General features: G+C 39.8%; 17 annotated features.

Annotated features, from left to right (window-relative positions):
• Positions 4,143–4,810: an enhancer, noted in NCBI's record as "OCT4-NANOG-H3K27ac-H3K4me1 hESC enhancer chrX:58560929-58561596 (GRCh37/hg19 assembly coordinates)". NCBI's record gives its function as "activates a minimal SCP1, AML or CMV promoter by ChIP-STARR-seq in naive and primed H9 embryonic stem cells {active_cell/tissue: H9 hESC(naive and primed)}" and the evidence as "EXISTENCE:reporter gene assay evidence [ECO:0000049][PMID:30033119]".
• Positions 4,811–5,476: an enhancer, noted in NCBI's record as "OCT4-NANOG-H3K27ac-H3K4me1 hESC enhancer chrX:58561597-58562262 (GRCh37/hg19 assembly coordinates)". NCBI's record gives its function as "activates a minimal SCP1, AML or CMV promoter by ChIP-STARR-seq in naive and primed H9 embryonic stem cells {active_cell/tissue: H9 hESC(naive and primed)}" and the evidence as "EXISTENCE:reporter gene assay evidence [ECO:0000049][PMID:30033119]".
• Positions 5,477–6,144: an enhancer, noted in NCBI's record as "OCT4-NANOG-H3K27ac hESC enhancer chrX:58562263-58562930 (GRCh37/hg19 assembly coordinates)". NCBI's record gives its function as "activates a minimal SCP1, AML or CMV promoter by ChIP-STARR-seq in naive and primed H9 embryonic stem cells {active_cell/tissue: H9 hESC(naive and primed)}" and the evidence as "EXISTENCE:reporter gene assay evidence [ECO:0000049][PMID:30033119]".
• Positions 8,811–9,476: an enhancer, noted in NCBI's record as "OCT4-NANOG-H3K27ac-H3K4me1 hESC enhancer chrX:58565597-58566262 (GRCh37/hg19 assembly coordinates)". NCBI's record gives its function as "activates a minimal SCP1, AML or CMV promoter by ChIP-STARR-seq in naive H9 embryonic stem cells {active_cell/tissue: H9 hESC(naive)}" and the evidence as "EXISTENCE:reporter gene assay evidence [ECO:0000049][PMID:30033119]".
• Positions 9,477–10,144: an enhancer, noted in NCBI's record as "OCT4-NANOG-H3K27ac-H3K4me1 hESC enhancer chrX:58566263-58566930 (GRCh37/hg19 assembly coordinates)". NCBI's record gives its function as "activates a minimal SCP1, AML or CMV promoter by ChIP-STARR-seq in primed H9 embryonic stem cells {active_cell/tissue: H9 hESC(primed)}" and the evidence as "EXISTENCE:reporter gene assay evidence [ECO:0000049][PMID:30033119]".
• Positions 10,811–11,478: an enhancer, noted in NCBI's record as "OCT4-NANOG-H3K27ac-H3K4me1 hESC enhancer chrX:58567597-58568264 (GRCh37/hg19 assembly coordinates)". NCBI's record gives its function as "activates a minimal SCP1, AML or CMV promoter by ChIP-STARR-seq in primed H9 embryonic stem cells {active_cell/tissue: H9 hESC(primed)}" and the evidence as "EXISTENCE:reporter gene assay evidence [ECO:0000049][PMID:30033119]".
• Positions 11,479–12,144: an enhancer, noted in NCBI's record as "OCT4-NANOG-H3K27ac-H3K4me1 hESC enhancer chrX:58568265-58568930 (GRCh37/hg19 assembly coordinates)". NCBI's record gives its function as "activates a minimal SCP1, AML or CMV promoter by ChIP-STARR-seq in primed H9 embryonic stem cells {active_cell/tissue: H9 hESC(primed)}" and the evidence as "EXISTENCE:reporter gene assay evidence [ECO:0000049][PMID:30033119]".
• Positions 12,813–13,478: an enhancer, noted in NCBI's record as "OCT4-NANOG-H3K27ac-H3K4me1 hESC enhancer chrX:58569599-58570264 (GRCh37/hg19 assembly coordinates)". NCBI's record gives its function as "activates a minimal SCP1, AML or CMV promoter by ChIP-STARR-seq in primed H9 embryonic stem cells {active_cell/tissue: H9 hESC(primed)}" and the evidence as "EXISTENCE:reporter gene assay evidence [ECO:0000049][PMID:30033119]".
• Positions 14,145–14,810: an enhancer, noted in NCBI's record as "OCT4-NANOG-H3K27ac-H3K4me1 hESC enhancer chrX:58570931-58571596 (GRCh37/hg19 assembly coordinates)". NCBI's record gives its function as "activates a minimal SCP1, AML or CMV promoter by ChIP-STARR-seq in primed H9 embryonic stem cells {active_cell/tissue: H9 hESC(primed)}" and the evidence as "EXISTENCE:reporter gene assay evidence [ECO:0000049][PMID:30033119]".
• Positions 15,479–16,144: an enhancer, noted in NCBI's record as "OCT4-NANOG-H3K27ac-H3K4me1 hESC enhancer chrX:58572265-58572930 (GRCh37/hg19 assembly coordinates)". NCBI's record gives its function as "activates a minimal SCP1, AML or CMV promoter by ChIP-STARR-seq in primed H9 embryonic stem cells {active_cell/tissue: H9 hESC(primed)}" and the evidence as "EXISTENCE:reporter gene assay evidence [ECO:0000049][PMID:30033119]".
• Positions 16,813–17,478: an enhancer, noted in NCBI's record as "OCT4-NANOG-H3K27ac-H3K4me1 hESC enhancer chrX:58573599-58574264 (GRCh37/hg19 assembly coordinates)". NCBI's record gives its function as "activates a minimal SCP1, AML or CMV promoter by ChIP-STARR-seq in primed H9 embryonic stem cells {active_cell/tissue: H9 hESC(primed)}" and the evidence as "EXISTENCE:reporter gene assay evidence [ECO:0000049][PMID:30033119]".
• Positions 17,479–18,146: an enhancer, noted in NCBI's record as "OCT4-NANOG-H3K27ac-H3K4me1 hESC enhancer chrX:58574265-58574932 (GRCh37/hg19 assembly coordinates)". NCBI's record gives its function as "activates a minimal SCP1, AML or CMV promoter by ChIP-STARR-seq in primed H9 embryonic stem cells {active_cell/tissue: H9 hESC(primed)}" and the evidence as "EXISTENCE:reporter gene assay evidence [ECO:0000049][PMID:30033119]".
• Positions 19,479–20,144: an enhancer, noted in NCBI's record as "OCT4-NANOG-H3K27ac-H3K4me1 hESC enhancer chrX:58576265-58576930 (GRCh37/hg19 assembly coordinates)". NCBI's record gives its function as "activates a minimal SCP1, AML or CMV promoter by ChIP-STARR-seq in primed H9 embryonic stem cells {active_cell/tissue: H9 hESC(primed)}" and the evidence as "EXISTENCE:reporter gene assay evidence [ECO:0000049][PMID:30033119]".
• Positions 21,479–22,146: an enhancer, noted in NCBI's record as "OCT4-NANOG-H3K27ac-H3K4me1 hESC enhancer chrX:58578265-58578932 (GRCh37/hg19 assembly coordinates)". NCBI's record gives its function as "activates a minimal SCP1, AML or CMV promoter by ChIP-STARR-seq in primed H9 embryonic stem cells {active_cell/tissue: H9 hESC(primed)}" and the evidence as "EXISTENCE:reporter gene assay evidence [ECO:0000049][PMID:30033119]".
• Positions 22,813–23,480: an enhancer, noted in NCBI's record as "OCT4-NANOG-H3K27ac-H3K4me1 hESC enhancer chrX:58579599-58580266 (GRCh37/hg19 assembly coordinates)". NCBI's record gives its function as "activates a minimal SCP1, AML or CMV promoter by ChIP-STARR-seq in primed H9 embryonic stem cells {active_cell/tissue: H9 hESC(primed)}" and the evidence as "EXISTENCE:reporter gene assay evidence [ECO:0000049][PMID:30033119]".
• Positions 23,481–24,146: an enhancer, noted in NCBI's record as "OCT4-NANOG-H3K27ac-H3K4me1 hESC enhancer chrX:58580267-58580932 (GRCh37/hg19 assembly coordinates)". NCBI's record gives its function as "activates a minimal SCP1, AML or CMV promoter by ChIP-STARR-seq in naive and primed H9 embryonic stem cells {active_cell/tissue: H9 hESC(naive and primed)}" and the evidence as "EXISTENCE:reporter gene assay evidence [ECO:0000049][PMID:30033119]".
• Positions 24,147–24,812: an enhancer, noted in NCBI's record as "OCT4-NANOG-H3K27ac-H3K4me1 hESC enhancer chrX:58580933-58581598 (GRCh37/hg19 assembly coordinates)". NCBI's record gives its function as "activates a minimal SCP1, AML or CMV promoter by ChIP-STARR-seq in naive H9 embryonic stem cells {active_cell/tissue: H9 hESC(naive)}" and the evidence as "EXISTENCE:reporter gene assay evidence [ECO:0000049][PMID:30033119]".

The raw sequence follows: 25,226 nt of genomic DNA on the forward strand, positions 1-25,226 counted from the left end.
TTGAACCATTTTTTTGATAGAGCAGTTTTGAACCACTGTTTTTGTAGAATCAGCAAGTGGACATTTTGAGCCCTTTTTGTCCTGTGGTGAAAAAGGAAATATCTTCAAGTTAAAACTACACAGAAGCATCCTCAGAAACTTCTTTGTGGTGTTTGCTTTCAATTCACAGATTTGAACTTTCCTTCTCATACAGCAGATTTGAAATACTCTTTCTCTAAAATTTGCAAATGGATATCTGGACTGCTTTGAGGCCTTCGTTGAAAAAGGGAAATCTTCACAAAAACTAGACAGAAGCATTCTCAGGGACTTCTTTGTGATGTGTGCATTCAACTCACAGAATTGAACTGTTCTTTTAATAGAGCAGTTTTGAAACACTCTTTTCGTAGAATCTGCAAGTGGACACTTGGAGTGCTTTGAGGCCTACGGTGAAAAAGGAAATATCTCCATATAAAAACAACACAGAAGCACTCTGAGGAACTTCTTTGTGATGTATGCATTCAACTCATATAATTGAACCGCTATTTTGACAGAGCAGTTTTGAAACCCTCTTTTTGTAGAATCTGAAACTGGATATTTGGAGTGCTTTGGGGCCAATGCTGAAAAAGGAAATATCGTCACATAAAAACTACACAGAAGCATTCTCAGAAACAACATTGTGATGTGTACATTCAACTCACAGAGATGAACCCATCTTTTGATAGAGCAGTCTGGAAACCCTCCTTTTGTGGAATCAGCAACTGGACATTTGGAGTGCTTTGAGGCATATGATGAAAAAGGAAATATCTTCACAAAAAAACTACACAGAAGCACTCTCAGAAACTGCTTTGTGTTGGTTGCTTTCAACTCACAGAGCTGAACATTCCTTTTTATAGAGCAGTTCTGAAACACTCTTTTTGTAGAATTTGCAAGGGATATTTGGAACGCTTTGAGGCCTTCGTTGGAAAAGGGATATCTTCACAAAAACTAGACAGAAGCATTCTCAGAAACTTCGTTGTGATGTGTGTACTCAACTCACAGAGTTGAACTTTTCTTTTGTTACAGCAGTTTTGAAACACTCTTTTTGTAGAATCTGCAAGTGGATATTTGGATAGCTCTGAGGCTTTCATTGGAAACGGGAATATCTTCACATAAAAACCAGAGAGAAACATTCTCAGAAACTTCTTGTGATGTTTGCACTCAACTCACAGAGTTGAACATCCTTTTCATAGAGCAATTTTGAAACACTATTTTTAATTTGAAATTGGACATTTGGACCGCTTTGAGGCCTTCACTGGAAAAGGGATATCTTAACAAAACCTAGACAGAAGCATTCTCAGGAACTTCTTTGTGATGTGTGCGCTCAAATCCCAGAGTTGAAGCTTTCTTTTGATAGAGAAGTTTGAAACTCTCTTTTTGTACAATCTGCAAGTGGATATTTGTAGCTCTTTGAAGCCTAAGGTGAAAAAGGAAATATCTTCGCATAGAAACTATACAGAAGCATTCTAAGAAACATCTTTGTGTTGTGTGCACTCAAATTAAAGAGTCGAAGACATCTTTTGATACAGCAGTTTTGAAACACTCTTTCTGTAGAATCTGCAAGTGGACATTGGGAGCGCTTTGAGGTCTATGGTGAGAAAGGAAATATCTTCACAACGAAACTACAAAGAAGCATTCTCAGAAACTTTTTCTGATGTTTGCTTTGAACTCACTGAGTTGAACATTCCTATTCATAGAACAGTTTTGAAACACACTTTATGTAGAACTTGCAAGAGGATATTTGGACCGCTTTGAGGTCTTCTCTGGAAAAGGGAAATCTTCAGGAAAACTAGATAGAAGCATTCTCAGAATCTCCTTTCTGATGTATGCATTCAACTCACAGAGATGAACGTTTCTTTTGATAGAGCTGTTGTGTAATACTCTTTTTGTAGGATCTGCAAGTGGGCATTTGGGGGGTTTTGAGCCACTTGCAGATTCAACAAAAAGATTTTTTTGAAAGTGCTCTATCGAAAGAATAGTTGAATTCTGTGAGTTCAATGCACACATCAGAAAGAAGCTTCTGAGAATGGTTCTGTCCAGTGTTTGTGAAGATATCCTATTACCAACGAAGACCTCAAAGGCTTCCAAATATCCACTTGCAAATTCTACAAAAGAGTGTTTCAAAACTGCACTATGAAAACGAATGTTCAATTCCTTGAGTTGAAAGCAAACATCAGAAAGAAGTTTCTGAGAATGCTTCTGTGTAGTTTCATTGTGAAGATATTTCCACTTTCACCATAGGCCTCAAAGCCCTCCAAATGTCCACTTGCAGGTTCTACAAAAAGAGTGTTTCAAAAGTGCTCTATCAAAGGAAAGCTTCAACTCTGTGAGTTGAATCCACACATCACAAAGAAGTTTCTGAGAATGCTTCTGTCTAGTTTTTATGTGAAGATATTTCGTTTTTCATAACAGGCCTCAAAGCGTTACAAATGTCCACTTGCAGATCCTACAAAAAGAGTTTTTGAAAACTGCTCTATCGAAAGAAATGTTCAAGTCTGTGAGTTGAATGCACAAATCACAAAGAAGTTTGTGAGAATGCTTCTGTCCAGTTTTTCTGAAGATATCCCATTTCCAACGAAGGCCCCAAAGCGGTCCAAATATCCACTTACAAATTCTACAAAAAGAGTGTTTCAAAACTGCTCTATGAAAAGGAATGTTCAACTCTGTGAGTTGAAAGCAAACAACAAAAAGAAGTTTCTGAGAATACTTCTATGTAGTTTATATGTAATGATATTTCCTTTTTCACCATAGGCCTCAAAGCTCTCCAAATGTCCACTTGCAGATTCTACAAAAAGGAGGTTTCAAAACTGCTCTATCAAAAGAGAGGTTCAAATCTGTGAGTTGAAGACACACATCACAAAGAGGTTTCTGAGAATGCTTCTGTGTAGTTGTTATGTGAAGATATTTCCTTTTTCACCATAGGCCTCAAAGCGCTCCAAATGTCCAGTTGCAGATTCTACAAAAAGAGGGTTTCTAAACTGCTCTATCAAAAGAAAGGTTAAACTCGGTGAGTTGAACGCACACATCACAAAGTAGTTTCTGGGAATGATTCTGTCTAGTTTTTATATGAACATATTGCCTTTTGTACTGTAGGACTAAAAGCGCTCTAAATATCCACTTGGAAATACTACAAAAAGACTGTTTCCAATCCGCTCTATCAAAAGGAAGGTTCAAATCTGTTAGTTGAATGCACACAACACAGAGAAGTTTCTGAGAATTCTTCTGCCTGGTTTTATAGGAAGCAATCCCGTTTCCAATGAAGGCCTCAAAGAGGTCCAAATATCCAGTGGCAGAATCTACAAAAAGAGTGTCTCAAAACAGCTCTATCAAGAGGAATGTTCAACTATGTGAGTTGAATGGACACATCACAAAGTATTTGCTAAGAATGCTTCTGTCTAGTTTTATGTGAAGATAATTCCTTTTCTACCATAGGACTCAAAGCACTCTAAATACACACTTGCTGATTCTACAAAAAGAGTGTTTCCAAACTGCTCTATCAAAAAGAATGTACAATTCTGTGAGTTAAATGCAATCATCACAGAGTAGTTTCTGAGAATGCTGCTAGGTAGTTTTTATGAGAAGATAATTCCTTTTACACCACAGTCCGCAAAGCCCTCCAAATGTCCACTTGCAGATTCTAGAAAAAGAGTGTTTCAACGCTGCGCTATCAAAGGGAAAGTTCAAGTCTGTGAGGTGAATGCAAACATCCCAAAGAAGTTTCTGAGAATGCTTCTGTTTAGCTTTTATGTGAAGATGATCCCGTTTCCAGTGAAATCTTCAAAGAGGTCCAAATATCCACTTGCGGATCCCACAGAAAGAGTGTTTTGAAACTGCTGTTTCCAAAGGAATCCTCAACTCTGTGAGTTGAATGCAATCATCACAAAGAAGTTTCTGACAATGCTTCACTCTAGTTTTTATGTGATGATATTTCCTTTTCCACCACAGAGCACAAAGCGCTCCACATGTCCACTTGCAGATTCTACGAAAAGAATGTTTCAAAACTGCTCTATGAAAAGCAATGTTAAACTCTGTGGCTCAAATACAAATATCACAAAAGAGTTTCTGAGAATGCTTCAGTTTAGTTTTTCTGTGAAGACATTTCCGTTTCCAAAGAAATCTTCAAAGAGGTCCACATATCCACTTACAGATTATACAAAAAGAGAGTTTCAAAACGGCTCAATCAAAAGGAAGGTTCAACTCTCTGACTTGAATGCAATCATCACACAGAAGTTTCTGAGAATGCTTCTCTTTGGTTTTTACTTGAAGATATACCCGTTTCGTTCGAAGGCCACCCAATTGTCAAAATATACACTTACAGAATCTACAAAAAGAGTGTTTCATACCTCAACAATCAAAGGAAGGTTCATCACTGTGAGTTGAATACAAACATCACGAACAAGTTTCTGAGAATGTTTCTTAGTTATGTGAAGTATATCCCGTTTCCAAAGAAATCCTCAGAGAGGTCCAAATATCCACTTGTAGATTCTACCAAAAGTGTGTTTGGAAACTGCTCCATCACAAGGCATGTTCAGCTCTGGGAGTAAAACTCCATCATCACAAAGAATTTTCTGACCATGCTTCCGTTTGGTTTTTATATGAAGTTATTTCCTTTACTACCGTAGGCCTCAAAGCAGTCCAAATCTCCATTTGCAGATTCTACAATAAGAGTGTTTCCAATCTGCTCTATCAATAGGAATGTTCACTTCTGTCACTTGAATGCAATCATCACAAAGTACTTTCTGAGTATGCTTCTATATAGTGTTTATGTGAAGATATTTCCTTTTCCACCACAGGCCTCAAAGCCCTCCAAATGTCCACTTGAAGAATCTAGAAAGAGTGTTTCATAGCTGCTCTTTCAAAAGGAAAGTTCAACTCTGGGAGTTGAATACAAACATCACAAAGTAGTCTCTGAGAATGCTTCTGTTTAGTTTTTATGAGAAGATGATCCCGTTTCCAATGAAATATTTAAACAGGTCCACATATCCACTGGCAGATTCAAAGAAAGAGAGTTTCAAAACTGCTCAATCAAAAGGAGGGTTCAACTCAGTGACTTGAATGCAATCATTACACAAAAGTTTCTGGGAATGCTTCTCTTTAGTTTTTAAATAAACATATACCGTATCGAAAGAAGGCAACACAGTGGTCCAAATATCCACGTGCAGATTCTACAAAAAGAGTGTTTCAAACCTGAACTATCAAAGAAAGTTTCAAATCTGTGAGTGAAATGCAAACATCATGAAGAAGTTTCTGAGAATGTTTGAGTTTAGTTATGGGAAGTTTACCCCTTTTCCAAAAAAATCCTCAGAGAGGTCAAAATATACACTTGCAGATTCTACCAAAAGGGTGTTTGGAAACTGCTCCATCTAAAGGCATGTTCAGCTCTGTCAGTTAATCTCCATCATCACAAAGAATATTCTGAGAATGCTTCCGTTTGCTTTTTATATGAAGTTCCTTCCTATACTACCGTAGGCCTCAAAGCAGTCCAAATCTCCATTTGCAGATTCTACAAAAAGAGTGTTTCCAATCTGCTCTATCAATAGGATTGTTCAACTCTGTGAGTTGAATGCCATCATCACAAAGTAGTTTCTGACAATGGTTCTCTCTCGTATTTATGTGAAGATATTTCAATTTCCACCACAGGCCTCAAAGCCCTCCAAACGTCCACTTGCAGATTCTCGAAAAAGAGTGTTTCATAGCTGTTCTTTCAAAAGGAAAGTTCAACTCTGGGAGTTGAATACAAACATCACAAAGTCGTTTCCGAGAATGCTTCTGTTTAGTTTTTATGTGAAGATGATCCCGTTTCCAATGAAATTTTCAAAGAGGTCCACATATCCCCTTACAGATTCCAAAGAAAGAGGGTTTCAAAACTGCTCCATCAAAAGGATTGTTCAACTCTGTGAGTTGAATGCAGTCATCGCAGAAAACTTTCTGAGAATGCTTCTGTCTAGGTTTGATGTGAAGATATAGACGTTTAAAACGAAGGCTACAAAGTGGTCAAAATAGACACTTGCAGATTCTACTACAAGGGTGTTGCAAACCTGAAATATCAAAGGAAGGTTCCACTCTGTGAGTTGAATGCAAGCATCACAAAGAAGTTTCTGAGAATGCTTCGGTTCAGTTATGGGAAGTTGAACCCGTTTCCAACGAAATCTTCAGAGAGGTCCAAATATCCCCTTGCAGATTCTACAAAAAGTGTGTTTGGAACCTGCTCCACCAAAATGAATGTTCAGCTCTCTCAGTTAAACTCAATCGTCGCAAACAATTTTCTGAGAGGGCTACTGTCTAGTTTTTATATGAAGTTCTTTCCTTTACTACCACAGGCCTCAAAGCAGTCCACATCTCCTCTTGCAGATTCTACAAAGGAGTGTTTGCAAACTGCTATATCAAAAGGAATGTTCAACTCTGGGAGTTGAATGCAATCATCACAGAGTAGTTTCTGACAATGCTTCTATATAGTTTTTAGGAGAAGATATTTCCTTTTCCACCACAGTCGTAAAAGCCCTCTAAATATCCACTTGCACATTCTAGAAAAAGTGTGTCAAAACTGCGCTATCAAAGGGAAAGTTCAACTCTGTGAGGTGAATGCAAACATCCGAAAGAAGTTTCTGAGAATGCTTCCGTTTACCTTTTAGGTGAAGATTATCCCGTTTCCAACGAAATCTTCCCAGAGATCCAAATATACCCTTGTGGATCCCACAGAAAGAGTGTTTCGAAACTGCTGTTTCAAAACGAACCTTCAACTCTGTGAGTTGAATGCAGTCATCACAAAGAAGTTTCTGACAATGCTTCTCTCTCGTCTTTATGTGAAGATAAAACAAAAGGCTTTCAGGCCTTTTCCACCACAGGCCTGAAAGTGCTCCAAATGTCCACTTGCAGACACTGTGAAAAGAATGTTTCAAAACTGCTCTATGAAAAGCAAAGTTGAACTCTATGGCTCGAACACAAACATCACAAAGCAGTTTCTGAGAATGCTTCAGTTTAGTTTTTCTGTGGAAATATTCCCGTTTCGAAAGAAATCTTCAAAGAGGTCCTCCACCATATCCACTTACAGATTCTACAAAAAGACAGTTTCAAAACTGCTCCATCAAAAGGAGGGTTCAACCGTGTGACTTGAATGCAATCATCACTCAGAAGTTTCTGAGAATGCTTCTCTTTAGTTTTTACGTGAACATATACCCGTTTCGAACGAAGGCCAGCCAGTGGTCCAAATATCCACTTGCAGATTCTACAGAAAGAGTGTTTCAAACCTGAACTCTGAAAGGAAGGTTCATCTCTGTGAGTTAAATGCATTCATCATGAAGAACTTTCTCAGAGTGTTTGTGTTTAGTTATGGGAAATTATTCCCGTTTCCAACGAGATCCTCAGAGAGGTCCAAATATCCACCTGAAGATTCTACCAAAAGTGTATTTGGAAACTGCTCCATCAAAGGGCATGTTCAGCTCTGTGAGTTAAACTCCATCATCCCAAAGAATACTCTGAGAATGCTTCCGTTTGCTTTTTATATGAAGTTCCTTCCTATACTACCGTAGGCCTCAAAGCAGTCCAAATCTCCATTTGCAGATTCTACAAAAAGAGTGATTCCAATCTGCTCTATCAATAGGATTGTTCAACTCCATGAGTTGAATGCCATCCTCACAAAGTAGTTTCTGAGAATGCTTCTATCTAGTTTTCATGTGAAGATATTTCCTTTTCCACCACAGGCCTCAAAGCCCTCCAAACGTCCACTTGCAGATTCTCGAAAAAGAGTGTTTCATAGCTGCTCTTTCAAAAGGAAAGTTCAACTCTGGGAGTTGAATACAGACATCACAAAGTAGTTTCCGAGAATGCTTCTGTTTAGTTTTTATGTGAAAATGATCCCGTTTCCAGTGAATTCTTCAAAGAGGTCCACTTATCCCCTTGCAGATTCCAAAGAAAGAGGATTTCAAAACTGCTCCATCAAAAGGATTGTTCAACTCTGTGAGTTGAATGCAGTCATCGCAGAAAACTTTCTGAGAATGCTTCTGTCTAGGTTTGATGTGAAGATATAGACATTTCAAGCGAAGGCTACAAAGTGGTCAAAATATACACTTGCAGATTCTACTACAAGGGTGTTGCAAACCTGAACTATCAAAGGAAGGTTCAACTCTGTGAGTTGAATACAAACATCACAAAGAATGTTCTGAGTTTGCTTCCGTTCAGGTATGGGAAGCTGATCCCGTTTCCAAAGAAATCCTCAGAGAGGTCCAAATATCCCCTTGCAGATTCTACAAAAAGTGTGTTTGGAAACTGCTCCATCATAACGAATGTTCAGCTCCCTGAGTTAAACTCAATCGTCACAAAGAATTTTCTGAGAGTGCTACCGTCTAGTTTTTATATGAAGTTCTTTCCTTTACTACCACAGGCCTCAAAGCGGTCCAAATCTGCACTTGCAGATTCCACAAAAAGAGTGTTTGCAAACTGCTCTATCAAGAGGAATGTTCAACTCTGGGAGTTGAATGCAATCATCACCGAGCAGTTTCTGAGAATGCTTCTATGTCGTTTTTAGGAGAAGATATTTCCTTTTCCAACACAGTCCTCCAAGCCCGCTAAATATCCACTTGCACATTGTAGAAAAAGTGTGTCGAAGCTGCGCTATCAAAGGGAAAGTTCAACTCTGCGAGGTGAATGCAAACATCCCAAGGAAGTTTCTGAGAATGCTTCCGTTTAGCTTTTAGGTGAAGATTATCCCGTTTCCAACGAAATCTTCAAAGAGGTCCAAATATCCCCTTGCGGATCCCACAGAAAGAGTGTTTCGAAACTGCTGTTTCAAAAGGAATCTTCAACTCTGTGAGTTGAATGCAATCATCACAAAGAAGTTTCTGACAATGCTTCTCTCCCGTCTTTCTGTGAAGATAAAGGAAAAGGCTTTCAGGCCTTTTCCACCACAGGCCTGAAAGCGCTCCAAATGTCCACTTGCAGATTCTGCCAAAAGAATATTTCGAAACTGCTCTATGAGAAGCAATGTTAAACTCTGTGGCTCGAACACAAACATCACAAAGCAGTTTCTGAGAATGCTTCAGTTTAGTTTTTCTGTGGAAATATTCCCGTTTCCAAAGAAATCTTCAAAGAGGTCCAACATATCCACTTACAGATTCTACAAAAAGACAGTTTCAAAACTGCTCCATCAAAAGGAGGGTTCAACCGTGTGACTTGAATGCAATCATCACTCAGAAGTTTCTGAGAATGCTTCTCTTTAGTTTTTACGTGAACATATACCCGTTTCGAACGAAGGCCACCCAGTGGTCCAAATATCCACTTGCAGATTCTACAGAAAGAGTGTTTCAAACCTAAACTCTGAAAGGAAGGTTCATCTCTGTGAGTTAAATGCATTCATCATGAAGAACTTTCTCAGAGTGTTTGTGTTTAGTTATGGGAAATTATTCCCGTTTCCAACGAGATCCTCAGAGAGGTCCAAATATCCACCTGCAGATTCTACCAAAAGTGTATTTGGAAACTGCTCCATCAAAAGGCATGTTCAGCTCTGTGAGTTAAACTCCATCATCACAAAGAATACTCTGAGAATGCTTCCGTTTGCTTTTTATATGAAGTTCCTTCCTATACTACCGTAGGCCTCAAAGCAGTCCAAATCTCCATTTGCAGATTCTACAAAAAGAGTGATTCCAATCTGCTCTATCAATAGGATTGTTCAACTCCATGAGTTGAATGCCATCCTCACAAAGTAGTTTCTGAGAATGCTTCTATCTAGTTTTCATGTGAAGATATTTCCTTTTCCACCACAGGCCTCAAAGCCCTCCAAACGTCCACTTGCAGATTCTCGAAAAAGAGTGTTTCATAGCTGCTCTTTCAAAAGGAAAGTTCAACTCTGGGAGTTGAATACAGACATCACAAAGTAGTTTCCGAGAATGCTTCTGTTTAGTTTTTATGTGAAGATGATCCCGTTTCCAGTGAAATCTTCAAAGAGGTCCACTTATCCCCTTGCAGATTCCAAAGAAAGAGGGTTTCAAAACTGCTCCATCAAAAGGATTGTTCAACTCTGTGAGTTGAATGCAGTCATCGCAGAAATCTTTCTGAGAATGCTTCTGTCTAGGTTTGATGTGAAGATATAGACGTTTCAAACGAAGGCTACAAACTGGTCAAAATATACACTTGCAGATTCTACTACAAGGGTGTTGCAAACCTGAACTATCAAAGGAAGGTTCAACACTGTGAGTTGAATACAAACATCACAAAGAATGTTCTGAGTTTGCTTCCGTTCAGTTATGGGAAGTTGATCCCGTTTCCAACGAAATCCTCAGAGAGGTCCAAATATCCCCTTGCAGATTCTACAAAACGTGTGTTTGGAAACTGCTCCATCATAACGAATGTTCAGCTCCCTGAGTTAAACTCAATCGTCACAAAGAATTTTCTGAGAGTGCTACCGTCTAGTTTTTATATGAAGTTCTTTCCTTTACTACCACAGGCCTCAAAGCGGTCCAAATCTCCACTTGCAGATTCTACAAAAAGAGTGTTTGCAAACTGCTCTATCAAAAGGAGTGTTCAACTCTGGGAGTTGAATGCAATCATCACAGAGCAGTTTCTGAGAATGCTTCTATGTCGTTTTTAGGAGAAGATATTTCCTTTTCCAACACAGTCCTCCAAGCCCGCTAAATATCCACTTGCACATTGTAGAAAAAGTGTGTCGAAGCTGCGCTATCAAAGGGAAAGTTCAACTCTGTGAGGTGAATGCAAACATCCCAAAGAAGTTTCTGAGAATGCTTCCGTTTAGCTTTTAGGTGAAGATTATCCCGTTTCCAACGAAATCTTCAAAGAGGTCCAAATATCCCCTTGCGGATCCCACAGAAAGAGTGTTTCGAAACTGCTGTTTCAAAAGGAATCTTCAACTCTGTGAGTTGAATGCAATCATCACAAAGAAGTTTCTGACAATGCTTCTCTCTCGTCTTTCTGTGAAGATAAAGGAAAAGGCTTTCAGGCCTTTTCCACCACAGGCCTGAAAGCGCTCCAAATGTCCACTTGCAGATTCTGCCAAAAGAATAGTTCAAAACTGCTCTATGAAAAGCAATGTTAAACTCTGTGGCTCGAACACAAACATCACAAAGCAGTTTCTGAGAATGCTTCAGTTTAGTTTTTCTGTGGAAATATTCCCGTTTCCAAAGAAATCTTCAAAGAGGTCCACGCATCCACTTACAGATTCTACAAAAAGACAGTTTCAAAACTGCTCAATCAAAAGGAGGGTTCAACTGTGTGACTTGAATGCAATCATCACTCAGAAGTTTCTGAGAACGCTTCTCTTTAGTTTTTACGTGAACATATACCCGTTTCGAACGAAGGCCAGCCAGTGGTCCAAATATCCACTTGCAGATTCTACAGAAAGAGTGTTTCGAACCTGAACTCTCAAAGGCAGGTTCATCTCTGCGAGTTCAATGCATTCATCATGAAGAACTTTCTCAGCGTGTTTGTGTTTAGTTATGGGAAATTATTCCCGTTTCCAACGAAATCCTCAGAGAGGTCCAAATATCCACCTGCAGATTCTACCAAAAGTGTATTTGGAAACTGCTCCATCAAAAGGCATGTTCAGCTCTGTGAGTGAAACTCCATCATCACAAAGAATATTCTGAGAATGCTTCCGTTTGCCTTTTATATGAAGTTCCTTCCTATACTACCGTAGGCCTCAAAGCAGTCCAAATCTCCATTTGCAGATTCTACAAAAAGAGTGATTCCAATCTGCTCTATCAATAGGATTGTTCAACTCCATGAGTTGAATGCCATCCTCACAAAGTCGTTTCTGAGAATGCTTCTATCTAGTTTTTATGTGAAGATATTTCCTTTTCCACCACAGGCCTCAAAGCCCTCCAAACGTCCACTTGCAGATTCTCGAAAAAGAGTGTTTCATAGCTGCTCTTTCAAAAGGAAAGTTCAACTCTGGGAGTTGAATACAAACATCACAAAGTAGTTTCCGAGAATGCTTCTGTTTAGTTCTTATGTGAAGATGATCCCGTTTCCAGTGAAATCTTCAAAGAGGTCCACATATCCCCTTGCAGATTCCAAAGAAAGAGGGTTTCAAAACTGCTCCATCAAAAGGATTGTTCAACTCTGTGAGTTGAATGCAGTCATCGCAGAAAACTTTCTGAGAATGCTTCTGTCTAGGTTTGATGTGAAGATATAGACGTTTCAAACGAAGGCTACAAAGTGGTCAAAATATACACTTGCAGATTCTACTACAAGGGTGTTGCAAACCTGAACTATCAAAGGAAGGTTCAACTCTGTGAGTTGAATACAAACATCACAAAGAATGTTCTGAGTTTGCTTCCGTTCAGTTATGGGAAGTTGATCCCGTTTCCAACGAAATCCTCAGAGAGGTCCAAATATCCCCTTGCAGATTCTACAAAACGTGTGTTTGGAAACTGCTCCATCATAACGAATGTTCAGCTCTCTGAGTTAAACTCCATCGTCACAAAGAATTTTCTGAGGGTGCTACCGTCTAGTTTTTATATGAAGTTCTTTCCTTTACTACCACAGGCCTCAAAGCGGTCCAAATCTCCACTTGCAGATTCTACAAAAAGAGTGTTTGCAAACTGCTCTATCAAAAGGAATGTTCAACTCTGGGAGTTGAATGCAATCATCACAGAGCAGTTTCTGAGAATGCTTCTATGTCGTTTTTAGGAGAAGATATTTCCTTTTCCAACACAGTCCTCCAAGCCCGCTAAATATCCACTTGCACATTGTAGAAAAAGTGTGTCGAAGCTGCGCTATCAAAGGGAAAGTTCAACTCTGTGAGGTGAATGCAAACATCCCAAAGAAGTTTCTGAGAATGCTTCCGTTTAGCTTTTAGGTGAAGATTATCCCGTTTCCAACGAAATCTTCAAAGAGGTCCAAATATCCCCTTGCGGATCCCACAGAAAGAGTGTTTCGAAACTGCTGTTTCAAAAGGAATCTTCAACTCTGTGAGTTGAATGCAATCATCACAAAGAAGTTTCTGACAATGCTTCTCTCTCGTCTTTCTGTGAAGATAAAGGAAAAGGCTTTCAGGCCTTTTCCACCACAGGCCTGAAAGCGCTCCAAATGTCCACTTGCAGATTCTGCCAAAAGAATATTTCAAAACTGCTCTATGAAAAGCAATGTTAAACTCTGTGGCTCGAACACAAACATCACAAAGCAGTTTCTGAGAATGCTTCAGTTTAGTTTTTCTGTGGAAATATTCCCGTTTCCAAAGAAATCTTCAAAGAGGTCCACGCATCCACTTACAGATTCTACAAAAAGACAGTTTCAAAACTGCTCAATCAAAAGGAGGGTTCAACTGTGTGACTTGAATGCAATCATCACTCAGAAGTTTATGAGAACGCTTCTCTTTAGTTTTTACGTGAACATATACCCGTTTCGAACGAAGGCCAGCCAGTGGTCCAAATATCCACTTGCAGATTCTACAGAAAGAGTGTTTCGAACCTGAACTCTCAAAGGCAGGTTCATCTCTGCGAGTTCAATGCATTCATCATGAAGAACTTTCTCAGAGTGTTTGTGTTTAGTTATGGGAAATTATTCCCGTTTCCAACGAAATCCTCAGAGAGGTCCAAATATCCACCTGCAGATTCTACCAAAAGTGTATTTGGAAACTGCTCCATCAAAAGGCATGTTCAGCTCTGTGAGTGAAACTCCATCATCACAAAGAATATTCTGAGAATGCTTCCGTTTGCCTTTTATATGAAGTTCCTTCCTATACTACCGTAGGCCTCAAAGCAGTCCAAATCTCCATTTGCAGATTCTACAAAAAGAGTGATTCCAATGTGCTCTATCATTAGGATTGTTCAACTCCATGAGTTGAATGCCATCCTCACAAAGTCGTTTCTGAGAATGCTTCTATCTAGTTTTTATGTGAAGATATTTCCTTTTCCACCACAGGCCTCAAAGCCCTCCAAACGTCCACTTGCAGATTCTCGAAAAAGAGTGTTTCATAGCTGCTCTTTCAAAAGGAAAGTTCAACTCTGGGAGTTGAATACAAACATCACAAAGTAGTTTCCGAGAATGCTTCTGTTTAGTTCTTATGTGAAGATGATCCCGTTTCCAGTGAAATCTTCAAAGAGGTCCACATATCCCCTTGCAGATTCCAAAGAAAGAGGGTTTCAAAACTGCTCCATCAAAAGGATTGTTCAACTCTGTGAGTTGAATGCAGTCATCGCAGAAATCTTTCTGAGAATGCTTCTGTCTAGGTTTGATGTGAAGATATAGACGTTTCAAACGAAGGCTACAAAGTGGTCAAAATATACACTTGCAGATTCTACTACAAGGGTGTTGCAAACCTGAACTATCAAAGGAAGGTTCAACACTGTGAGTTGAATACAAACATCACAAAGAATGTTCTGAGTTTGCTTCCGTTCAGTTATGGGAAGTTGATCCCGTTTCCAACGAAATCCTCAGAGAGGTCCAAATATCCCCTTGCAGATTCTACAAAACGTGTGTTTGGAAACTGCTCCATCATAACGAATGTTCAGCTCCCTGAGTTAAACTCAATCGTCACAAAGAATTTTCTGAGAGTGCTACCGTCTAGTTTTTATATGAAGTTCTTTCCTTTACTACCACAGGCCTCAAAGCGGTCCAAATCTCCACTTGCAGATTCTACAAAAAGAGTGTTTGCAAACTGCACTATCAAAAGGAGTGTTCAACTCTGGGAGTTGAATGCAATCATCACAGAGCAGTTTCTGAGAATGCTTCTATGTCGTTTTTAGGAGAAGATATTTCCTTTTCCAACACAGTCCTCCAAGCCCGCTAAATATCCACTTGCACATTGTAGAAAAAGTGTGTCGAAGCTGCGCTATCAAAGGGAAAGTTCAACTCTGTGAGGTGAATGCAAACATCCCAAAGAAGTTTCTGAGAATGCTTCCGTTTAGCTTTTAGGTGAAGATTATCCCGTTTCCAACGAAATCTTCAAAGAGGTCCAAATATCCCCTTGCGGATCCCACAGAAAGAGTGTTTCGAAACTGCTGTTTCAAAAGGAATCTTCAACTCTGTGAGTTGAATGCAATCATCACAAAGAAGTTTCTGACAATGCTTCTCTCTCGTCTTTCTGTGAAGATAAAGGAAAAGGCTTTCAGGCCTTTTCCACCACAGGCCTGAAAGCGCTCCAAATGTCCACTTGCAGATTCTGCCAAAAGAATAGTTCAAAACTGCTCTATGAAAAGCAATGTTAAACTCTGTGGCTCGAACACAAACATCACAAAGCAGTTTCTGAGAATGCTTCAGTTTAGTTTTTCTGTGGAAATATTCCCGTTTCCAAAGAAATCTTCAAAGAGGTCCACGCATCCACTTACAGATTCTACAAAAAGACAGTTTCAAAACTGCTCAATCAAAAGGAGGGTTCAACTGTGTGACTTGAATGCAATCATCACTCAGAAGTTTCTGAGAACGCTTCTCTTTAGTTTTTACGTGAACATATACCCGTTTCGAACGAAGGCCAGCCAGTGGTCCAAATATCCACTTGCAGATTCTACAGAAAGAGTGTTTCGAACCTGAACTCTCAAAGGCAGGTTCATCTCTGCGAGTTCAATGCATTCATCATGAAGAACTTTCTCAGCGTGTTTGTGTTTAGTTATGGGAAATTATTCCCGTTTCCAACGAAATCCTCAGAGAGGTCCAAATATCCACCTGCAGATTCTACCAAAAGTGTATTTGGAAACTGCTCCATCAAAAGGCATGTTCAGCTCTGTGAGTGAAACTCCATCATCACAAAGAATATTCTGAGAATGCTTCCGTTTGCCTTTTATATGAAGTTCCTTCCTATACTACCGTAGGCCTCAAAGCAGTCCAAATCTCCATTTGCAGATTCTACAAAAAGAGTGATTCCAATCTGCTCTATCAATAGGATTGTTCAACTCCATGAGTTGAATGCCATCCTCACAAAGTCGTTTCTGAGAATGCTTCTATCTAGTTTTTATGTGAAGATATTTCCTTTTCCACCACAGGCCTCAAAGCCCTCCAAACGTCCACTTGCAGATTCTCGAAAAAGAGTGTTTCATAGCTGCTCTTTCAAAAGGAAAGTTCAACTCTGGGAGTTGAATACAAACATCACAAAGTAGTTTCCGAGAATGCTTCTGTTTAGTTCTTATGTGAAGATGATCCCGTTTCCAGTGAAATCTTCAAAGAGGTCCACATATCCCCTTGCAGATTCCAAAGAAAGAGGGTTTCAAAACTGCTCCATCAAAAGGATTGTTCAACTCTGTGAGTTGAATGCAGTCATCGCAGAAAACTTTCTGAGAATGCTTCTGTCTAGGTTTGATGTGAAGATATAGACGTTTCAAACGAAGGCTACAAAGTGGTCAAAATATACACTTGCAGATTCTACTACAAGGGTGTTGCAAACCTGAACTATCAAAGGAAGGTTCAACTCTGTGAGTTGAATACAAACATCACAAAGAATGTTCTGAGTTTGCTTCCGTTCAGTTATGGGAAGTTGATCCCGTTTCCAACGAAATCCTCAGAGAGGTCCAAATATCCCCTTGCAGATTCTACAAAACGTGTGTTTGGAAACTGCTCCATCATAACGAATGTTCAGCTCTCTGAGTTAAACTCCATCGTCACAAAGAATTTTCTGAGGGTGCTACCGTCTAGTTTTTATATGAAGTTCTTTCCTTTACTACCACAGGCCTCAAAGCGGTCCAAATCTCCACTTGCAGATTCTACAAAAAGAGTGTTTGCAAACTGCTCTATCAAAAGGAATGTTCAACTCTGGGAGTTGAATGCAATCATCACAGAGCAGTTTCTGAGAATGCTTCTATGTCGTTTTTAGGAGAAGATATTTCCTTTTCCAACACAGTCCTCCAAGCCCGCTAAATATCCACTTGCACATTGTAGAAAAAGTGTGTCGAAGCTGCGCTATCAAAGGGAAAGTTCAACTCTGTGAGGTGAATGCAAACATCCCAAAGAAGTTTCTGAGAATGCTTCCGTTTAGCTTTTAGGTGAAGATTATCCCGTTTCCAACGAAATCTTCAAAGAGGTCCAAATATCCCCTTGCGGATCCCACAGAAAGAGTGTTTCGAAACTGCTGTTTCAAAAGGAATCTTCAACTCTGTGAGTTGAATGCAATCATCACAAAGAAGTTTCTGACAATGCTTCTCTCTCGTCTTTCTGTGAAGATAAAGGAAAAGGCTTTCAGGCCTTTTCCACCACAGGCCTGAAAGCGCTCCAAATGTCCACTTGCAGATTCTGCCAAAAGAATATTTCAAAACTGCTCTATGAAAAGCAATGTTAAACTCTGTGGCTCGAACACAAACATCACAAAGCAGTTTCTGAGAATGCTTCAGTTTAGTTTTTCTGTGGAAATATTCCCGTTTCCAAAGAAATCTTCAAAGAGGTCCACGCATCCACTTACAGATTCTACAAAAAGACAGTTTCAAAACTGCTCAATCAAAAGGAGGGTTCAACTGTGTGACTTGAATGCAATCATCACTCAGAAGTTTATGAGAACGCTTCTCTTTAGTTTTTACGTGAACATATACCCGTTTCGAACGAAGGCCAGCCAGTGGTCCAAATATCCACTTGCAGATTCTACAGAAAGAGTGTTTCGAACCTGAACTCTCAAAGGCAGGTTCATCTCTGCGAGTTCAATGCATTCATCATGAAGAACTTTCTCAGAGTGTTTGTGTTTAGTTATGGGAAATTATTCCCGTTTCCAACGAAATCCTCAGAGAGGTCCAAATATCCACCTGCAGATTCTACCAAAAGTGTATTTGGAAACTGCTCCATCAAAAGGCATGTTCAGCTCTGTGAGTGAAACTCCATCATCACAAAGAATATTCTGAGAATGCTTCCGTTTGCCTTTTATATGAAGTTCCTTCCTATACTACCGTAGGCCTCAAAGCAGTCCAAATCTCCATTTGCAGATTCTACAAAAAGAGTGATTCCAATGTGCTCTATCATTAGGATTGTTCAACTCCATGAGTTGAATGCCATCCTCACAAAGTCGTTTCTGAGAATGCTTCTATCTAGTTTTTATGTGAAGATATTTCCTTTTCCACCACAGGCCTCAAAGCCCTCCAAACGTCCACTTGCAGATTCTCGAAAAAGAGTGTTTCATAGCTGCTCTTTCAAAAGGAAAGTTCAACTCTGGGAGTTGAATACAAACATCACAAAGTAGTTTCCGAGAATGCTTCTGTTTAGTTCTTATGTGAAGATGATCCCGTTTCCAGTGAAATCTTCAAAGAGGTCCACATATCCCCTTGCAGATTCCAAAGAAAGAGGGTTTCAAAACTGCTCCATCAAAAGGATTGTTCAACTCTGTGAGTTGAATGCAGTCATCGCAGAAATCTTTCTGAGAATGCTTCTGTCTAGGTTTGATGTGAAGATATAGACGTTTCAAACGAAGGCTACAAAGTGGTCAAAATATACACTTGCAGATTCTACTACAAGGGTGTTGCAAACCTGAACTATCAAAGGAAGGTTCAACACTGTGAGTTGAATACAAACATCACAAAGAATGTTCTGAGTTTGCTTCCGTTCAGTTATGGGAAGTTGATCCCGTTTCCAACGAAATCCTCAGAGAGGTCCAAATATCCCCTTGCAGATTCTACAAAACGTGTGTTTGGAAACTGCTCCATCATAACGAATGTTCAGCTCCCTGAGTTAAACTCAATCGTCACAAAGAATTTTCTGAGAGTGCTACCGTCTAGTTTTTATATGAAGTTCTTTCCTTTACTACCACAGGCCTCAAAGCGGTCCAAATCTCCACTTGCAGATTCTACAAAAAGAGTGTTTGCAAACTGCACTATCAAAAGGAGTGTTCAACTCTGGGAGTTGAATGCAATCATCACAGAGCAGTTTCTGAGAATGCTTCTATGTCGTTTTTAGGAGAAGATATTTCCTTTTCCAACACAGTCCTCCAAGCCCGCTAAATATCCACTTGCACATTGTAGAAAAAGTGTGTCGAAGCTGCGCTATCAAAGGGAAAGTTCAACTCTGTGAGGTGAATGCAAACATCCCAAAGAAGTTTCTGAGAATGCTTCCGTTTAGCTTTTAGGTGAAGATTATCCCGTTTCCAACGAAATCTTCAAAGAGGTCCAAATATCCCCTTGCGGATCCCACAGAAAGAGTGTTTCGAAACTGCTGTTTCAAAAGGAATCTTCAACTCTGTGAGTTGAATGCAATCATCACAAAGAAGTTTCTGACAATGCTTCTCTCTCGTCTTTCTGTGAAGATAAAGGAAAAGGCTTTCAGGCCTTTTCCACCACAGGCCTGAAAGCGCTCCAAATGTCCACTTGCAGATTCTGCCAAAAGAATATTTCAAAACTGCTCTATGAAAAGCAATGTTAAACTCTGTGGCTCGAACACAAACATCACAAAGCAGTTTCTGAGAATGCTTCAGTTTAGTTTTTCTGTGGAAATATTCCCGTTTCCAAAGAAATCTTCAAAGAGGTCCACGCATCCACTTACAGATTCTACAAAAAGACAGTTTCAAAACTGCTCAATCAAAAGGAGGGTTCAACTGTGTGACTTGAATGCAATCATCACTCAGAAGTTTATGAGAACGCTTCTCTTTAGTTTTTACGTGAACATATACCCGTTTCGAACGAAGGCCAGCCAGTGGTCCAAATATCCACTTGCAGATTCTACAGAAAGAGTGTTTCGAACCTGAACTCTCAAAGGCAGGTTCATCTCTGCGAGTTCAATGCATTCATCATGAAGAACTTTCTCAGAGTGTTTGTGTTTAGTTATGGGAAATTATTCCCGTTTCCAACGAAATCCTCAGAGAGGTCCAAATATCCACCTGCAGATTCTACCAAAAGTGTATTTGGAAACTGCTCCATCAAAAGGCATGTTCAGCTCTGTGAGTGAAACTCCATCATCACAAAGAATATTCTGAGAATGCTTCCGTTTGCCTTTTATATGAAGTTCCTTCCTATACTACCGTAGGCCTCAAAGCAGTCCAAATCTCCATTTGCAGATTCTACAAAAAGAGTGATTCCAATGTGCTCTATCATTAGGATTGTTCAACTCCATGAGTTGAATGCCATCCTCACAAAGTCGTTTCTGAGAATGCTTCTATCTAGTTTTTATGTGAAGATATTTCCTTTTCCACCACAGGCCTCAAAGCCCTCCAAACGTCCACTTGCAGATTCTCGAAAAAGAGTGTTTCATAGCTGCTCTTTCAAAAGGAAAGTTCAACTCTGGGAGTTGAATACAAACATCACAAAGTAGTTTCCGAGAATGCTTCTGTTTAGTTCTTATGTGAAGATGATCCCGTTTCCAGTGAAATCTTCAAAGAGGTCCACATATCCCCTTGCAGATTCCAAAGAAAGAGGGTTTCAAAACTGCTCCATCAAAAGGATTGTTCAACTCTGTGAGTTGAATGCAGTCATCGCAGAAATCTTTCTGAGAATGCTTCTGTCTAGGTTTGATGTGAAGATATAGACGTTTCAAACGAAGGCTACAAACTGGTCAAAATATACACTTGCAGATTCTACTACAAGGGTGTTGCAAACCTGAACTATCAAAGGAAGGTTCAACACTGTGAGTTGAATACAAACATCACAAAGAATGTTCTGAGTTTGCTTCCGTTCAGTTATGGGAAGTTGATCCCGTTTCCAACGAAATCCTCAGAGAGGTCCAAATATCCCCTTGCAGATTCTACAAAACGTGTGTTTGGAAACTGCTCCATCATAACGAATGTTCAGCTCCCTGAGTTAAACTCAATCGTCACAAAGAATTTTCTGAGAGTGCTACCGTCTAGTTTTTATATGAAGTTCTTTCCTTTACTACCACAGGCCTCAAAGCGGTCCAAATCTCCACTTGCAGATTCTACAAAAAGAGTGTTTGCAAACTGCACTATCAAAAGGAGTGTTCAACTCTGGGAGTTGAATGCAATCATCACAGAGCAGTTTCTGAGAATGCTTCTATGTCGTTTTTAGGAGAAGATATTTCCTTTTCCAACACAGTCCTCCAAGCCCGCTAAATATCCACTTGCACATTGTAGAAAAAGTGTGTCGAAGCTGCGCTATCAAAGGGAAAGTTCAACTCTGTGAGGTGAATGCAAACATCCCAAAGAAGTTTCTGAGAATGCTTCCGTTTAGCTTTTAGGTGAAGATTATCCCGTTTCCAACGAAATCTTCAAAGAGGTCCAAATATCCCCTTGCGGATCCCACAGAAAGAGTGTTTCGAAACTGCTGTTTCAAAAGGAATCTTCAACTCTGTGAGTTGAATGCAATCATCACAAAGAAGTTTCTGACAATGCTTCTCTCTCGTCTTTCTGTGAAGATAAAGGAAAAGGCTTTCAGGCCTTTTCCACCACAGGCCTGAAAGCGCTCCAAATGTCCACTTGCAGATTCTGCCAAAAGAATAGTTCAAAACTGCTCTATGAAAAGCAATGTTAAACTCTGTGGCTCGAACACAAACATCACAAAGCAGTTTCTGAGAATGCTTCAGTTTAGTTTTTCTGTGGAAATATTCCCGTTTCCAAAGAAATCTTCAAAGAGGTCCACGCATCCACTTACAGATTCTACAAAAAGACAGTTTCAAAACTGCTCAATCAAAAGGAGGGTTCAACTGTGTGACTTGAATGCAATCATCACTCAGAAGTTTCTGAGAACGCTTCTCTTTAGTTTTTACGTGAACATATACCCGTTTCGAACGAAGGCCAGCCAGTGGTCCAAATATCCACTTGCAGATTCTACAGAAAGAGTGTTTCGAACCTGAACTCTCAAAGGCAGGTTCATCTCTGCGAGTTCAATGCATTCATCATGAAGAACTTTCTCAGCGTGTTTGTGTTTAGTTATGGGAAATTATTCCCGTTTCCAACGAAATCCTCAGAGAGGTCCAAATATCCACCTGCAGATTCTACCAAAAGTGTATTTGGAAACTGCTCCATCAAAAGGCATGTTCAGCTCTGTGAGTGAAACTCCATCATCACAAAGAATATTCTGAGAATGCTTCCGTTTGCCTTTTATATGAAGTTCCTTCCTATACTACCGTAGGCCTCAAAGCAGTCCAAATCTCCATTTGCAGATTCTACAAAAAGAGTGATTCCAATCTGCTCTATCAATAGGATTGTTCAACTCCATGAGTTGAATGCCATCCTCACAAAGTCGTTTCTGAGAATGCTTCTATCTAGTTTTTATGTGAAGATATTTCCTTTTCCACCACAGGCCTCAAAGCCCTCCAAACGTCCACTTGCAGATTCTCGAAAAAGAGTGTTTCATAGCTGCTCTTTCAAAAGGAAAGTTCAACTCTGGGAGTTGAATACAAACATCACAAAGTAGTTTCCGAGAATGCTTCTGTTTAGTTCTTATGTGAAGATGATCCCGTTTCCAGTGAAATCTTCAAAGAGGTCCACATATCCCCTTGCAGATTCCAAAGAAAGAGGGTTTCAAAACTGCTCCATCAAAAGGATTGTTCAACTCTGTGAGTTGAATGCAGTCATCGCAGAAAACTTTCTGAGAATGCTTCTGTCTAGGTTTGATGTGAAGATATAGACGTTTCAAACGAAGGCTACAAAGTGGTCAAAATATACACTTGCAGATTCTACTACAAGGGTGTTGCAAACCTGAACTATCAAAGGAAGGTTCAACTCTGTGAGTTGAATACAAACATCACAAAGAATGTTCTGAGTTTGCTTCCGTTCAGTTATGGGAAGTTGATCCCGTTTCCAACGAAATCCTCAGAGAGGTCCAAATATCCCCTTGCAGATTCTACAAAACGTGTGTTTGGAAACTGCTCCATCATAACGAATGTTCAGCTCTCTGAGTTAAACTCCATCGTCACAAAGAATTTTCTGAGGGTGCTACCGTCTAGTTTTTATATGAAGTTCTTTCCTTTACTACCACAGGCCTCAAAGCGGTCCAAATCTCCACTTGCAGATTCTACAAAAAGAGTGTTTGCAAACTGCTCTATCAAAAGGAATGTTCAACTCTGGGAGTTGAATGCAATCATCACAGAGCAGTTTCTGAGAATGCTTCTATGTCGTTTTTAGGAGAAGATATTTCCTTTTCCAACACAGTCCTCCAAGCCCGCTAAATATCCACTTGCACATTGTAGAAAAAGTGTGTCGAAGCTGCGCTATCAAAGGGAAAGTTCAACTCTGTGAGGTGAATGCAAACATCCCAAAGAAGTTTCTGAGAATGCTTCCGTTTAGCTTTTAGGTGAAGATTATCCCGTTTCCAACGAAATCTTCAAAGAGGTCCAAATATCCCCTTGCGGATCCCACAGAAAGAGTGTTTCGAAACTGCTGTTTCAAAAGGAATCTTCAACTCTGTGAGTTGAATGCAATCATCACAAAGAAGTTTCTGACAATGCTTCTCTCTCGTCTTTCTGTGAAGATAAAGGAAAAGGCTTTCAGGCCTTTTCCACCACAGGCCTGAAAGCGCTCCAAATGTCCACTTGCAGATTCTGCCAAAAGAATATTTCAAAACTGCTCTATGAAAAGCAATGTTAAACTCTGTGGCTCGAACACAAACATCACAAAGCAGTTTCTGAGAATGCTTCAGTTTAGTTTTTCTGTGGAAATATTCCCGTTTCCAAAGAAATCTTCAAAGAGGTCCACGCATCCACTTACAGATTCTACAAAAAGACAGTTTCAAAACTGCTCAATCAAAAGGAGGGTTCAACTGTGTGACTTGAATGCAATCATCACTCAGAAGTTTATGAGAACGCTTCTCTTTAGTTTTTACGTGAACATATACCCGTTTCGAACGAAGGCCAGCCAGTGGTCCAAATATCCACTTGCAGATTCTACAGAAAGAGTGTTTCGAACCTGAACTCTCAAAGGCAGGTTCATCTCTGCGAGTTCAATGCATTCATCATGAAGAACTTTCTCAGAGTGTTTGTGTTTAGTTATGGGAAATTATTCCCGTTTCCAACGAAATCCTCAGAGAGGTCCAAATATCCACCTGCAGATTCTACCAAAAGTGTATTTGGAAACTGCTCCATCAAAAGGCATGTTCAGCTCTGTGAGTGAAACTCCATCATCACAAAGAATATTCTGAGAATGCTTCCGTTTGCCTTTTATATGAAGTTCCTTCCTATACTACCGTAGGCCTCAAAGCAGTCCAAATCTCCATTTGCAGATTCTACAAAAAGAGTGATTCCAATGTGCTCTATCATTAGGATTGTTCAACTCCATGAGTTGAATGCCATCCTCACAAAGTCGTTTCTGAGAATGCTTCTATCTAGTTTTTATGTGAAGATATTTCCTTTTCCACCACAGGCCTCAAAGCCCTCCAAACGTCCACTTGCAGATTCTCGAAAAAGAGTGTTTCATAGCTGCTCTTTCAAAAGGAAAGTTCAACTCTGGGAGTTGAATACAAACATCACAAAGTAGTTTCCGAGAATGCTTCTGTTTAGTTCTTATGTGAAGATGATCCCGTTTCCAGTGAAATCTTCAAAGAGGTCCACATATCCCCTTGCAGATTCCAAAGAAAGAGGGTTTCAAAACTGCTCCATCAAAAGGATTGTTCAACTCTGTGAGTTGAATGCAGTCATCGCAGAAATCTTTCTGAGAATGCTTCTGTCTAGGTTTGATGTGAAGATATAGACGTTTCAAACGAAGGCTACAAACTGGTCAAAATATACACTTGCAGATTCTACTACAAGGGTGTTGCAAACCTGAACTATCAAAGGAAGGTTCAACACTGTGAGTTGAATACAAACATCACAAAGAATGTTCTGAGTTTGCTTCCGTTCAGTTATGGGAAGTTGATCCCGTTTCCAACGAAATCCTCAGAGAGGTCCAAATATCCCCTTGCAGATTCTACAAAACGTGTGTTTGGAAACTGCTCCATCATAACGAATGTTCAGCTCCCTGAGTTAAACTCAATCGTCACAAAGAATTTTCTGAGAGTGCTACCGTCTAGTTTTTATATGAAGTTCTTTCCTTTACTACCACAGGCCTCAAAGCGGTCCAAATCTCCACTTGCAGATTCTACAAAAAGAGTGTTTGCAAACTGCACTATCAAAAGGAGTGTTCAACTCTGGGAGTTGAATGCAATCATCACAGAGCAGTTTCTGAGAATGCTTCTATGTCGTTTTTAGGAGAAGATATTTCCTTTTCCAACACAGTCCTCCAAGCCCGCTAAATATCCACTTGCACATTGTAGAAAAAGTGTGTCGAAGCTGCGCTATCAAAGGGAAAGTTCAACTCTGTGAGGTGAATGCAAACATCCCAAAGAAGTTTCTGAGAATGCTTCCGTTTAGCTTTTAGGTGAAGATTATCCCGTTTCCAACGAAATCTTCAAAGAGGTCCAAATATCCCCTTGCGGATC

The sequence above is a fragment of the Homo sapiens genome, chromosome X (genome assembly GCF_000001405.40).
Source record: "Homo sapiens chromosome X, GRCh38.p14 Primary Assembly".
In the NCBI taxonomy this organism is placed as follows: domain Eukaryota; kingdom Metazoa; phylum Chordata; class Mammalia; order Primates; family Hominidae; genus Homo; species Homo sapiens.